The sequence below is a fragment of the Homo sapiens genome, chromosome 1 (genome assembly GCF_000001405.40).
Source record: "Homo sapiens chromosome 1, GRCh38.p14 Primary Assembly".
NCBI lineage: Eukaryota > Metazoa > Chordata > Mammalia > Primates > Hominidae > Homo > Homo sapiens.
Genome location: NC_000001.11, coordinates 202,647,229 through 202,662,371, shown reverse-complemented (window position 1 = coordinate 202,662,371; position 15,143 = coordinate 202,647,229). Strand labels below are relative to the sequence as shown.

General features: G+C 51.6%; 1 protein-coding gene across 2 annotated transcripts in view, besides 2 other annotated features; it reads left to right on the top strand.

Moving 5' to 3' along the window:
* The window catches only part of SYT2 (synaptotagmin 2), a 119,859-nt gene that overhangs the window by 48,083 nt on the left and 56,633 nt on the right, over nucleotides 1-15,143 (top strand). The gene's annotated exons all lie outside the window — the stretch shown is intronic.
* Nucleotides 3,824-4,325: an enhancer, noted in NCBI's record as "H3K4me1 hESC enhancer chr1:202627175-202627676 (GRCh37/hg19 assembly coordinates)". NCBI's record gives its function as "activates a minimal SCP1, AML or CMV promoter by ChIP-STARR-seq in naive and primed H9 embryonic stem cells {active_cell/tissue: H9 hESC(naive and primed)}" and the evidence as "EXISTENCE:reporter gene assay evidence [ECO:0000049][PMID:30033119]".
* Nucleotides 4,859-5,018: a silencer, noted in NCBI's record as "fragment chr1:202626482-202626641 (GRCh37/hg19 assembly coordinates)". NCBI's record gives its function as "represses an EF-1alpha promoter that drives an FKBP-Casp9 reporter gene in an ReSE screen in HepG2 liver carcinoma cells {active_cell/tissue: HepG2}" and the evidence as "EXISTENCE:reporter gene assay evidence [ECO:0000049][PMID:32094911]".

The window sequence follows — 15,143 nt, the reverse complement described above, 5'->3', positions numbered from 1 at the left end:
ATGTATGGGGCTCTGCCCCAGGCAGGGGGATCAATTAGTGTAATCTCTGCGTCTTTAGGAAGTAGTGAGGCTGCAGAGATAGGGGAAAAACACTGGGATCTGAAGATCTGGGCATGGTTCCAATTCTGCCGCCAACTCGCATACACTATGCCTCTTGCCGCTTCCTGGTCTTTGCCCATGGTGTGTCCTCTGCCTGGGATGCCCTTCTTATACCATGTGCTTGGGTAATTCCTATTCTCCCCCCAAAAACTCTGCTCAGAGGGTCCCGTGGCTCCTGGGCCAGGTTGGCACCCTCCTCTCTGTTCCCACCACACTGATCATCATACGTTGTACATTGCATTGTGATCACACGTGTGTCTCCTCATTGGAGGGTGGGCCTCTTGTGGACAAGGGTGACCACAGCTTGTCATCCTTGTATGTCCAGTGACTAGCACAGCCCTGGTACCTGGTGGACTCTCAAAGTGTCTGACAAGTGAACTAATGAATGGGTAAATGCGTGCATTAATGAAATAAATGTACTAGATTTGTGACCAACTTTGAGCAAATTAGGGTCCCACTCTGAGCCTCAGTTACCCCACTAACAAAATGTGGGGATTGGATCCAATGAATTTCGAAAGCCCTTTGCGCTTTAGAAACACTCCCGCAGGGGTGGAGGGAGAGGGCCAGCGCCTGCAGAGTGTTCTCTCTGAACACCTGCCCCCTTGGAGCAGAGACCGGAGTTGGCAGGCCAGTGATGGATGCAGGACTGGCATGAAAAATTGAGGCCACGGGCTGAGCTCCCCCTGCCAGGCTGTGTGAAGGCTGCCGAGTGGCATAGGGCAACCACGAGGGAATGTTATCGATGGCCTGACACCGTGTTTGGGGGATTAGCCCGTCCTCACATGTAATTATGAGGCATAGGATCATGCAAAGGGACAAGGCTGCACTGGAGAAAAAGGATATACCTTGTACTCAGCAGTGGTGATGAGTGAGCTGGGGAGGAAGGCGAAGCCATCCATCTCTTCTAGGCTGCTTCTGCTTGGCATAGCCAGTAGGTGGCCCCAGTAGGTGCCACCCAGTAGGTGGCAAGTGATAACTGGCTGGACCCTGCCCTCTAGCTTGGGATTTGGAACTGAGGGTTCCCAGGGGCAGGTGGTCCTAAGGGCTATCTCTTCCACGGCCCTTTTCTGACAGGAAGGGCTGTGCACTTAACCTTAGCATCCAGCACAGTGCCCAGCAGGAGTCAGCACTCCATAGCATTGATTGAATCAATGAATACACAAATTATATGGTCCATGAGGGCACGGATTTTTATCTCATTCAGTGCTCTGTCCCCAGCACCTGGAGCCATGTCTGGAGTGGAGTAGATGCTCAATAAGCATGTGCTGAATGATTAAGTGACTTGAGGAAAGGGATGCAGAAGTATGATACTGTGGCAGAAGAAGCAAAGCACTAGAGAGTCCTTAAGTCCGGATAGAAGGAAGGCTGGGGGAGACGAAGCTTGCAATGTGCTGCGAGCATAGGCGCCCACATCTAATTACCTGGGAGCGATGGGCTCAGAACCATCTCTCCTTTCCTCTGGGGAAGTGCTTCTCAGAATGTGATCCACCGGCATGACGCGGTGGCTTATACCTGTAATCCCACCACTTTGGGAGGCTGAAGTGGGAGGATTGCTTGAGCCCAGGAGTTCAAGACCAGCCTGGGCAGAATAGCAAGACCCCATCTCTATAAAAATATTTTTTAAATTAAAAATGTTTAAAAATAAAAAAATAAAGATGGTCCACTGATCACCATGTCAAAATCTCCTGGAGCACCAGAACTGAGCTTGCTGAATCAAAATCTCTGGAGTTGGGCCTGGGAATCTGAACTTTATGGAAGTTTCCAGAAGATTTTCAATGCATGTTAAAGTCTGGGAGCTATTTGGTGAAAGCTGCTGTGGAAGAGATTCCTGTCTTTCTCACCTGCTGGGGTAGTAGCGGTAACAGAAGTTGTAGCCACCATTAGCTGAGGGCATACATGCATTGTCATGTGATCCTCCCAGCAGCCTTATGAAGTATTACTTTTCCTCTTACAGATGAGGAAACTGAGGTTCTGACAAGTTATTGAACTTGCCCCATGTCATGCAGCTAAAAGGTAGCATAGTCAGGACCGAAGTCCAGCTTGTATATATCACACTGTACTACTCTGCTAGTTCCTTCTGCTTTTCTGGTGAGATGTTCCCCCTTGTGGCTAACTCAGGTCTCCCTTACTGTCCTCAGAACCCAGCCCCTTGTCCTGACCCCAGGAGGAGAGAGCTGTCACCTCAACTGGCAATGGGCATTGCTCCAGCCTGTGTTTTGATGGAAATACACGAAGCAGAGGGGACAGAGATTCTTGGGCAGAGAATCAGTTTGTTTTCATTGAAGGACCTCCGTGCCAAGCTCAGGTCTGGAGGTACCTCCTGCCTGGGACCCAGGGGGTTTAATGGCAGGGAGGAGCGGTCCTGCAGGTAGTAGCTCTGACCCTACCAGCCCAGCTCCCCACCCCTCACCCCCAACTTACATGTCAGCAGCTGTCACCTGCTCGACAGATGGGCTGACTGGCAGCACCTCTCCCTGGGCTGTACCCAGATTGGCTCGGCTATGCCCTGGCTGCCCCTAAGCTAGAACCATCTGTGCCCAAGAGAGACCCAACATTAGAGGAGAAGGGCAGATGGGGCTCTCGCAGCCCCTCCAGGTCATGGGGAGAGAGCTTAGGACCTTGTGATGCTCACCACCTGCTGTGCCCAAATTGGGCACCTGAGAGCCAGGACGGAGACTGCAGGGGCAGCTCTACTTCCCCTGCAAGGGGCTTTCAGAGTCGTTTCCAAGGCTAAAATGCCACTTACTGGCCACACACTGCCAGCCTGACCACACTTCTAAGCTATCTCTTTTTGCCGCTCTCTTTCTGTCAGCAAAGAGCCCCCAGTGTCACTCCACAGCAGTTGGAGTCCCGGGAAACCCTCTGCTTGGTGGAAGGGAGGGGCTGAGCTGGCAGGGATAGGTCTGCCCCTGGTTCCATTCAGCCCTTCTTCTGGATTTATTTTCACAGCTGATTGAACTCATCACCTTTTTAACGGGGAAAACAGAGCTGGACTAAAAAGTTCCCTTAAAATGAAACCCAAGATCAGAAGAACACGGACAGAGGTAGCATGTGTGCAGAATTAGTTTGCTGTGCATTGGGAAAGGGGAGGGGTCCCTTCCACCAGGGAAGGAGACAGGGTGGTCAATTTCATGCCCTTCTGAGAATGCTGCAGCAGATTTGGTATTTGATACTCCAAAGGGGGAGGGGTGTTGTCATTTTCCCTCCATCCCTCAAAAAACTCATTCAGAAAGAGAGACAGAGATTTTCTTGAGTCTAAAGGCCTCTGCCTCTATGTGAAGGAGGCTTATGCCGGATCCCCTAGGGACTGGGAAATTGAGAAGCTCTCCAATCTGGCAAGCATTTAAGTTCAATCAGTCTGTGTCCCAGCTTTTAGGAAGGGAAAATCGGCCACTTCATACTCCTTCTACCTAGACCTCCTGACTTCACCAGGAGCAGGGTTCAGGGGGCCACACACTGGCAGGGGCAAGAGGAGGGTGCCAGCACCCTGAATTGGGAGGGGTTGACACATTTTGAGGCAATCTGGCCACTCCTTTTTTAAAGCATTTGGCTGCGCATTTCCCTGGGAAATGAGGACTTTTAGGAAAAAAAAAAAAACTAATAAAAAAAATCCGACCACTGCATTGCAGTGCCTCTGAGATTGGTGCAGGCTGCTCAGCTGCTGTCTGAGGCACACACACGCCACACGTACTCACAGCTTGCACCTAGGCCCCCAGTCTTCTTACCCCCTCTGGCAGCTGCTGTCATAGCCTGGGGGCCAGAGGCGGGGAGTGGGGACTTCAGCCATCCTGCCACTCAGCTCTGGACTGGACCAGGGCAGGATCCAAGAGGCATCAGTAGAGGCAAAGGTAGGGATTTCTGACGCAGGGAGGGGACACGGTGGCTAGGCCTGGCTGGCTTCCTGGTCTGTGGCTCTGCTGCCTCTACTGCCCTTGCCGCACACTCTGGTTATTGCCACCATCCAGGGCACTTTTAGCTGAAACCTGCACAGTCCCACTCCTGGCACCATCCAGTGCAGATGCCCTCGTCATTTTTTCCTTTTTCTTTCCAAAAAAGGGGCCAGTCAGCTTTGTCATCCACCCACCTGCAGTCTCCCAGCTCACAGAGCCATGGAATATCAGAGCCGAAAGGACCCTAAGAGATCATCTAGTCCAATCCTTTTAGTTTATTAATAAGGAACCTGAGACCCAGAGAGGAAAGGTGACTTGCCCAAGGTCACTCGATGAGCTCTGGGCAGAGCTGATCCTACAGCGTGGGCCCAGAGGTGGCACAGAAAGTGCTTTGAAACATGCTGAGTGAACCCAAGTGAGAGGGTCCCCAGGAAGGGGCTGGTGACTTCCTGCTGATTGAGTAATGAATTCATTGATTAGCTGTTCAAGGCAGTCAAAGAGGAGATGCAGGATCAGCATTACGTCCCCACCAAACATACCCTGAGCTCTCCGCAGGGCCCTGACCCCGCTGTAGCCCTCTGCTTTCACCCTCCAGGAGCCCTCTACCCACCTGCTGGCTTCCAGTGCTTGTCAAGGACAGTGAGGGGATCCCAGGGCTGTTGTCTATGCTGACTGCACTCAGTTTCTGGACCCAGAAACTGAAACCAGGGGAAGGGGGAGGCCAAGAAAAGGGGGGTCCTTTACATCTCTCACCCCAGGAGCCAGGGTCCCTAAGGCGATCTCACAGCTCTCCAGTGTGAGGGAGGAGAGGGGAAATGCAGTGACCGCCACACCAACATTTTCCCGCTCACAGAGCTGTCTGACTGCTCCCTCCCTGACTTCTCCCAGAGCCTTGTGGTAGCCCCCAGTCACTGCATGCCTTCCCTTCAAATGCCTAAGAAGCCAGGAGCAGCTTCTGTCCAGGGTCCTGACCCCACCTCCCAGGGAAATGGACTTCAGATCTCACTGGGAGAAGAGAGAATCGTAGGTGGAGAAAGAGGCCCACTTTGGGTCTTGGGCATCTCTTCTAAAGGGTGCCCTTGAGACTCTTCTGGTGGGTTGCTCTAAAGACCGTGGTGAACGTGGCTCTTGTGTGGGTGTGCTTGGACTGGCTGTGCCAGAGACTGGACCTGATGAAAAGGCTTCTGTGTCATGACCATGATGAGGTTGGCTCAGCCTCAGTCTGACCTGGAATTTGGACAGTTGGCTCTTATGTAGGGTGTGCTGTGCTTCTCTGGACATCCCATTTTAAAAAGGACATACACAAAAATGAGCTGTGCCCGGAAGAATTTGGCCAGCAGGGCAGAGGCAATGGAAAACACTGGAACAAGAGTGGAAAGATCAGTTTGGATTAGACAAAGGCACCCAGGGAAGCCATGGTGGCTGCTTCCAGAGAGCTGGAGAGTGGTCCTGTATTCTGAAGGGCTGGACTCTGTCTGGCAGTGGAAGCCACAGGGAGAGAGATTTTAGTTCAAGATAGGAAGTCCACTGTAACTCTTAAAGATGTCCAAACAGTGGGAAGAGCATAATGTGGTGGGTTGCCTGTTGCTGGAATGTTCTAGCAGAGGCTGGTTAGGGAATTCCTGCATGAAGCAGGAGGTTGGGCTGGGGATAGCTAAGTGAAAACACAAAGGAAACTTACCTATGTCATGGCTGTGGCACGAGGTTCGGCCCTCCACATATGTGTGGTATGTCAAAGTTAACATGTGGTCCAGCTCATCTAAGCTTCGCACCATCCTTGCCAAAAAAGGCATTATTTCCTGCTTTTATAGATGTCACAATGAGCCTTAGAGAGGTTAAAGACACTTCCCTAAGGCTGTCCGCTTGGGAAGCAGCAGTTGGGACTTGAACCCAGGTCTGTCTGGCTCCTGATCCCTTGGTCTTTGCACTCTACCATCCTTGGCTCCAAGTTTCAGGCTCACAGGGCCCTGGGCTAAATGCCCAGACAGAGGCTTGCACCACTCCTGCTCTGAGTCTAAAATCAAGAAGATAGGGGAGCCGAAGCCCTCAGGGGCCGAGGATCTGGAGTCGGGAAATTTCTGTTTACCTTGGAGTCCAACAGCAATGACCAGCAGGGGACCCCAGAGTTCAGCCTCTGGCTTACCCTGACCAGGCTGATGCTCCGTGACTGACTGTTCTGATTGGAGCATGTGAGCGTTTGTGCCTGTGTGCATGCATGCAAGTGTGCATATGTGCACGTGTGTGTGTGTGTGTGTGCGTTCCAAAGCCCGCTTTCCCCCAGTGCTGCATGCTCACTCTTCACCCCCTTTCTTACAGGCACGGCCCGCTGTTCACCCACTCCTCTCTGCACACAATAAGCCACACTTTCTGGTCCTTATTTCTTGGCCTGGGGTCACACCTGTTGCTGCTCAGACAGGGAAGCCCCCCTCTCCTATCTGGCCCAGCACTTTTTGCCCCAAGCAGGCCCACTCGCTCCATGGTCACCTTGCGCATGATCACCCTTCCCTGTGTTCCCCCTGCCAGCATCACAGTGCAGCCCTGGACCAGTGGGAGGACATCAGAGATCCACATCTTCTGGTCTTTGCTACCCATGACACAGATGAAAGGTGACTGGCACTCCTGTTGTCCCTCAGACCCTCCCTCAGCCTCGCAAGCGCATGCCCATTTCTTTTGGAGAGACAGCATCTGGAAGTGAGAACACATCAAGCAGGATCGTGTAACCCCTGCCACTCACTGCAGGACCCTAGGGACATTGTTTAACTTCTCTGAGCCCCAGTGTCCTGTTCTGGAAAACAAGGATAGGAACACCTCTCCTGCAAGGGTCACGTAGGTTGGGCACATAAAGACCCAGCACAGTGCGTAAACGGTGGTGTTCCCTTGTGCCTGAATTAATGGTAGTGTCCCCTTGTCCCTGAAGACTCTCAGACACTTGATCAGCTGTTGGCTCAACAGTAGATAAAGAAAACGGAAGAACTTAAAGGACTCTGAGATTTAAAAAAACAACAACAACCCAGAACACAATGACATTGTAAAAATGAGGTATGTTTCAAGTCTGCTAGGGATGAGCCTGTAGTGAATAATTCTGGGCTTCCTCAAGGCCTGTCCTGGGCTCGCATCTCCTGCTGTCCGAAATGGCCATACCCTTCAGCTTCAACCTCCTTCTCCAAGCAGATAACTCACAAATGTGAATCTTCAGCCCAGACCCCTCCTCTAAGCCCACTTGCTCACCTATCTGCATGTTCAGCGACTCCACTTTGACACCTCTAAGGCATCTCAACACCCACCTCATGCTCTTACCCTCTTGTTCACACCTGGTCTGACTCTAGGAAATTATATCCCAGTGAGTGACACCCCCATTTGGCCCATAGTACAAGCCAGGAGCTTAGGAGTTGCTTTTAGTGCCCCTTTATCCTCTCCCCCAACCCAATACCAAAGTCAGTCACTTTTTTCTCTTCTTTCTTGAACATTCTACCTCTCTTCAGCTCTAGCAGCCTGGGCCAGCCATTAGCATCTCTCACCTGGATTATGCAGAAGCTGGTCATTCTGCCTGGAATACACTTCCCACCTCGCTGCCTAGTTAATTTTGGCCCAGCCTTCAAGCCTCAGTTCAAGGGCCACTTCCTCCAGGAAGCTGTCCTTGAGCTCCCTGAGAGATCTGAGTCTGTCTATTATAGAGCACCGTCCCACACTCCATAGTGCTGGTTGTAGCACAGATCTGATGTGTGTGTGTGTTGGGCGGGGGCAGGGGTCAATGATCAGTGTCACCTCTCCAAGTAGGATGAACTCCCCATGAGGGCACAACCTTGTCTGCTTTTGCTCATCATTAACTCCCCAATGCTGAGAATAGCATTTGACACATGAAGTAGGCAATTAACAAAAGATTGTTGAATGGATGAATGAATTGGCAGGAGTGAGTCTGGAGTCAGGTTTTGCACTTGGGCGGAGAGGCTGGAGGAAGGCGTTCTGGTGCCTTCGAAGAAACAGGGCTGGCCTAAGTGTAGGTGCTGCAAGTGGAAGCAGCTATCACAGGCTCAGAAAGTGGGTCTGCCAGGGAGCGTGGGCAGCAGAGTTGCAGTGGAGAATGTGCCTTCTTGGGTCACGTGACTGTGAAAATATTAGTCCTCAGGAGCAATTAGTTAAGTTAATTAGCTCATCCATTTAAGCAGCAGCTAAAGCAATGGGGCCTGAAGACCGTTTGGGGAAAGACACTTAATTATTTGCACCAATGTCACCCTAATTTCCCCAGTAAGCTCAGCTGTGGCTGGGCAAGGGCAGAGACCTGAACACTCAATTGATTTCCTCTTTTTGGGGCCTAGAGTGGGAGGGGTAGAGGGACCTGGGGAGGAGGGCTGGCTGAAAGCAGGCTGCCAGGGCCCTTGAAGCCCCACTGGCCACCTTCAGACTTTGCATCTCTCATTGACCCTTCTGATCAAGACATAAGTTTTCCAGGCCCCAGGGATGTCACTCCAGAGAGAGGATAACTTAGTCAAGGTCACACAGCAAGTTAGTTCTAGGGACAGACCCAGAACCCAGGCTCCCAGCCTCCTTGACCAGGACCTCCTCTTCAAGGAAAGAAAAGAAGAGGTGCAGAAATCACTGTGGTGACCCACAGAGGTCCAGCGGGTTGTGGCGATGTAGTCACACAGCATAGCTCCCCTAGAGAAGCATGCAGCGGTACCTTGCCTCCATCGTGGGACTCCAGCGCCCAGTCTCTGTTTCCCTGTCTGGAAAATGAGGCCAGTGTTTGTGGGGAGTGGGCTTGGAGATACCGCCATTCCCTATTCCCAATCTCTGGGGATGGTCTTTGGGCATACAGGTTCTGGTCTATTTCTGACCCCCATACGAGGTCAGCAGTTAAGGCAAGCATCTACTATGTGCCCAGACTGTGCTAGATGCTTTGGGTGGGGGTGGGGGTAACGGCCAAGGTATGGGACCAGTCCCCTGTGGTAGTACAAGCAAAGTGACTGGAGAACAGTACCAGCCAGTGCGTAGTGACATGCTGAGCTGTGTGTCTGTGAGGACAAGTCAGTCAGAACTGAGGTGATGAGTGAGGAGATGGAGAACTAAAGGTGCTCTAGGTAAGCGTGTGAATCTATATATCTAAGTATGAATCTATGCAGGGATATGAGGATGCAGATGGGCTGGACGGTTCAGGGGGGGTCCGTGTTGGGGACAGAGGCATGAGAGTTGGAGTGATCAGGTGGGGCCGTTTGGAGAAGGGCCTTTTGTCTGGGTGCAGCAGGAAGAGAGTGACAATCGAGATTTTCTATGAAAATAGTGGCATTGAGATGTCAAGCCGCTCATGCAAAAGGACAAGGAAAAACTTACACCATCAGGGAGGGGCATTCTTTCCATGGGATGCAGAGCTGGGGGACTTGCAGGCAAGGCTAGGTTAGGAGGAAATCCAAACTCTAAGGGGGGGTGGGTGGTGGGAAGGAAAATGATATGCATCAAAGGCCAACTCAGGCTCTAGGCACTGTGCTTTAAATGGGTTATCTTAGGTGAATTGGTGATGAATGTTCCTTGAGAAAAGGAAACTGGAGCTCATCTGGAGCTCAGAGAGTTTAAGTAATTAATCCAAGTCACACAGTTAGCACAAGGCAGAGCCACGTTTCTGGGTCTGATTTTGAAGCCAGGGTCTTTCCACCGAAGCAGTCCTCTCACCCTTGGCTACATGGAGAATGACTGATGCCCGGCCCCCTCCCAGGATAGCTGAGGGAGTCTCTGGGAGATGGGGCTGGGCACCTTTCCTTTAAGCTCCTCAAGTGACCCTGCTGGGCAGAGAAGTTGCGAGGGCCCAGCAGCAAGCTGCCTCCTGCTTTGGTCCCCAGGTTCCAGCCATTGCATCACAGGGGACTGGCTCCTGTCACCATGCACTAACTCCATTGCTGTCAAGGATGCAGGAGGTAGGGAAGACACATTGGTGCACTAAAGTTGATCTGAGACAGGCCTCCTGCAGAAAGGCAGGTGCCCAAATTCAAAGGAGGAGCTGAGAGATGAAGAACAGTGAAGACAGAGGCTGAACCCACTGACCCCTCCTTGTCACCCCCAACCCAGATCCATGCATGACCCCAAGGAGTTCCTCTTCTGCCATCACCACAACCCTTGACATATGTTTATTTCTCCCCAGGGAGCCATCCTCAGATGCCACTCACCCAAGGCAAAGGGACGATGGCTGTTCCCTCAACAGATGCACACACGGCTCCTCGGGCCCCTTCCACTGGCATCAGCCACCACCAACTCTCTGCAGAGGGAACAACTCTCCCAGAGATAGTTGAATGATTGGCTGCGATAGGCACCATTTCAGACTTGCTGTGTGACTTACTTAGACGGAGTCTCACTCTGTCACCAGGCTGGAGTACAGGGGCGGGATCTCGGCTCACTGCAACCTCCGCCTCCCGGGTTCAAGCGATTCTCCTGCCTCAGCCTCCTGAGTAGCTGGGACTACAGGTGCACACCACCATGCCCAGCTAATTTTTGTATTTTTAGTAGAGACGGGGCTTCACCATGTTTGCAGGATGGTCTCGATCTCTTGACCTCGTGATCTGCCTGCCTCAGCCTCCCAAGGTGCTGGGATTACAGGCGTGAGCCACCACGCCTGCCCTCTGTGTGACTTATTTAAACATATTCTTCTGTAAACTGGGTAGAATAATATCTGCATGGAAACTTATACCTGAAGGCTTTAGGAAAAAGAAAGATTGTTTAGGAGCCTTTTGTAGCTTCTTAGCTGTGAGGTAATAACTATTGATAGATAGGAATGTGCCGAGGTGGAAAGAATGAACCAGCATTTGAGTCCAATAGTCTGGAATCAAATCTAGTCACTGCCATGTGTGAGGTTCTTAACATCTTCAGAGCAAGTTTTCCTGTATGATTTATGAGTCAATGAATTCCATGTCTTCTGCCCAACCTCCTTTCTGAACCCCAGGCCCACATTTCTAGGGGCCTCCTGGACATTTCCTCCTGGATATGGCACAGGCTCCCAAACTGATCGTGTCCCAGGCTGAACTCCCCACTCCCACCCACCCCTGTGCGTCCTCTCTTGGTGACTGACATCCCTATCCTTCCCGTTTCACATGCCAGAGATCCAGAAGTCATCCTGGACTCCTCTCTTTTCCTCACCCCGACCCCCAATTAGCTACCCAGTGTGCAGTCTTGCATGTAGATGAGCAAATCCATCCCTTCCTTCCCACTCCCATGGCTCCTCCATGGTGTAGACTGGTATTGGCTTTCCCTTGACCTGCCGCAACACTCCCTCTTCTCATTGCCTCCTGCCAGCTCCCTGCTTCAAGCCTTCCGCTGTGCCCGTTGCCTGTGTGGGCAGAAGCCCCACACCCTTAGCCTGGCTTGCAAGGCCCTTCGCATCCAGGCTCCAATGCCCCTCCCACCCCACTCCCGGCCCCTTCTTCCCACTCTGCCCAGTGCCTCCAGGCGGCATGCCCAGCGTCCTCCTTCTTCCACGCTGGAGCACTCGCTATTCCCTTTGCCTGAAACACCCGCCTTTCCTTGGGATCAGATCAGAAGTGTACTTCAAGAGCCACTCAGAAGCCATCTTCTCTGGCTGTTCCTTCATCTTAACCCCCATGGAGGCTCCAAGGGCTCCGGCTCCACGGTCTTTTGTGCACACTGCTGTTTTCCCCGTGCTGCACTGTTATCTGCCTATGTGCCTGTCTCCCCCAGCAAACTTCCAAACTCTTGTGGGCAGGGATTGTGTCCCAGAGCACTCTATCCCAGGGCCAGGCAGAGTGCAGGGCACATAGTATGTATTCAATAAAAACATATCATAGCCAGGTGTGGTGGTGTGTGCCTGAAATCCCAGCTACTCAGGAGGCTGAGGCAGGAGAATAGCTTGAACCCGGGAGGCAGGGGTTGCAGTGAGCTGAGATTGTGCCATTGCACTCCAGCCTGGGTGACAGAGCGAAACTATGTCTCAAAAAAAAAAAAACAAAAGCATATGAAACAAATGTTTGGCAGACCCCAAAGACCCAGCTACTCTGGAAGAGACGTACACGTAGGCTATGCCCCTTATATATGTGCCCAACCAGTAGGTGGCAATGGAAGTGTCACTGCGTGCAAGCACATGACCCTTTCTGGGGTCCTCTCAGGCAGGCTGGACACCCCGGCTCACAGGTGGACAGGAGTACCTGGAACACGGGGCTCACTCAGGTAGAGTTCCTCAGGCTGCAGTTTACATACCCGCAGACAGGGGAGTTGATTATTTGGGCTTCTTGGATTCTCTGGGAAGATCCTCTGAGCCCAGCCCCAATTCCCTTTTCCTCTTCCGGGGCCCTCTGCCAAACATCTGTTCTTAGATGGCCTACATGTCTGGCTCGAGTCTAGAGAGAACTTGGAATCGCTCCCCATGTCCGGGAAAAGCCCTTACGGAGGGGATGGAGAAGATCTGTACTTTTGTGCAGGGAAGACTGGAGCTGGATTGACAGCAGCCTGGGAGACTGAAGTTGGCTGTGCGGTCTTGGGCAAGTCACATCACTCCCCAGAAGGTGGATGGGTTTTAGCGCCTCCACAGACCAGTGCTTGAATACTGGCTCTGGCACTTCCCAGCTATGCAGACTTGGGCAAGTCATTTGCATTTTGGGGGCCTCAGTTTTCCCAGCTGTGAAATGGGGACAAACACCAGTTTCATAAAGTAGTTACAGGGATGAGGTAGGATCCAAGTGTCTACAATGCTGTTCAGTTTATGACTGAGGAAGGAGGCACCTGTATCAATTGGCAAGGCATATGGCACAGGGGTTTGGAGTGCGGCCTCAGGAGGCGATGATGAGGTTCAGATCCTGCATCTTCCCTTTTCTAACTGTGTGACCTTGGACAAGTTATTTTACCTCTCTTTACCTCAGTTTTCCCATCTTGAAAATAGAAATAAGAATAATCCTCTCTCCTAGTGTTTTTGTAAGTATGAAGTAAATAAATTCATGTGAAACCCTTAAAATAGTACCTGGCACATAGTAAGCATGAATTCGTGCTTCCTATCACCATTGCTGTCAGCCTCATCAATATCATCATCTCAATACTTGAATCTCATTAACTCCAGGCACCTACTTGCTCTTGCAGGAAATCTTGCCTCCCCCAGATCTGCTTCATCCCAGCATATGATCTGGGAGACCCCTAAAGCTCATGTACACATGCTCATACTGTCTGGGCTGCCACTTGATGCTGGTTTCAGTGTCTCCAGTTCCTCCAGCACCGCCACTGTCCAAAGCTGCTGCATGGCCTCTGATGCCTGGGCCCTGCTCCTCCTGCTGATGTGCCTGTCTGTCAAGGCTTTCAATCTTCTGCAGCCTTAGCTGCTCAGCAGCTTCTTTCAAAGAGAGAGTGAGAACAGTCCCTCCCTAGGTGATGTGATCATTGGAGGGGCAGAGTCTCACAGCAGGTTGCTTGGGCCTTGAAGTGTTAGATTTAGTGAGCTTGCTCTTGAGACAGCTCTTTCATTCTACACACAGCCACTCCTCTTCCCAGGATCACTGGGTCAGACAAGGTCAAGAGCCAGCCACTCTGCCCAAGCTGGAGGGTCTCTCTGTCTGACCTCAAGCCCTGTTGTGCAGACTTGCTTGTTTTGTCAGCTTAATTCTTTCTTTTTGGCAATAACCCCTACTCAACAACTGCCAAAAACCTCTCTATATGTCTGGAGCCTGACTGTGAACACAGTTCAAGTTTATCCCCCAGGGAACTCCTCTTTAGCCCCCAGGTAGCCCAGTGGATGCAAATCCATACTCCAGAAGATGGATGCCAGCAGACGCCTTGGGTTTGAGGTATGCATCTCAGTCTCAGCTGCAACCCATCCTGGATGCCTTGCCCCACGCAACATATATAAACTGTCTGGTCCATAGCAGGCACTAAATAACCAGTATGTATTTTTTATTAGTTTCCTCACCTGCAAAGCAGAGAAAATGTAAATTACAGGCTCACACCTGTAATCCCAGCACTTTGAAAGGCCAAGGTGGGCAGATCGCTTGAGGTCAGGAGTTCGAGACCAGCCTGGCCAACATGGTGAAATCCCATCTCTAGTAAAAAATACAAAAATTAGCCAGGCATGGTGGTGCATGCCTGTAGTCCCAACTACTTGGGAGGCTGAGGCATGAGAATCTCTTGAACCTGGGAGGCGGAGGTTGCGGTGAGCCGAGATCACACCTCTGCACTCTAGCAACAGAGCGAGACTCTGCCTCAAAACAAATAAGCAGACAAACAAAACAGCTAACATTTACTGTGCCCTTATTATGTCCAGATGACGTTCTAAGTTTTTTACATGTATTAACTCATGCAATATTCACAATGATTGCATGAGGTAAATACTGTTTCTGTTCCATTTTATGGATGAGACATAGGGTGTGAAGTGCCTTGACCAAGGTCACACAGCTGCTAAGTGGCAGAACCAGGATTCTACTCCCACCACTGGCTTCGGAGCCTGTATTTGAACCATCGTGGTATCCATGCTAATGCTCAGAATTACTGTGAGATCCAATGATTCTATGTCTTATGGCTCTATACAAGCACTAAGAGCTGCTGCTCCCATGGCTCAGTGATTTGGAGGGGGAGGGAGGAGGGGGAAGGAGGAGCAGGGAGAGGGTCTCTCTTAGCACTAGTGATGGTCGTGGTAGTGACTGCAGGATTTAGAGGCTCTTTGCAGAAATCTAGTTGCTTCGTTTCTGGAAGGGAATAACTGAGAGCCATTATTTTGTTTGGACAGGTCTGAAGTGGGGAGGGAACTCGGTCAAGGTGAAGAACTACATCAGCTTCTCAAGCATCCTCTTCTCTCCCTTCCCCTCTTTCTCCCTCACTCCTCATTCAGCTAGGGCCTGGGGGCAGGGGTGAGGTTTCCAGCAAGGCTGCCTCCACACTGCCCAGGCAGGTAGCCTCAGCTACTGTTGCAGGGTTCAGCTGTTGGGGGTGCTCATGGAGTACGGTTGGGGGGGGAAGCCTCCCAAGCAGCAGCCTTCACTAAGGCCTAGATCGCTCAGAGAGAAAGGAGGACACCTGAACAGCCACAGAAAGCTGGCCCAGGAGACTGCAAAAGTACTCTTTGAGGCACCTCTTCCTAACATGACCCTTCCCTCTACGGGCCCTGGAAACATATGGGCAACAGGAGCCTGATCCTGCAGGGCTAGCTTAGAGCCCAGAGTTCCAGGACAGCTCCAGCGTTTC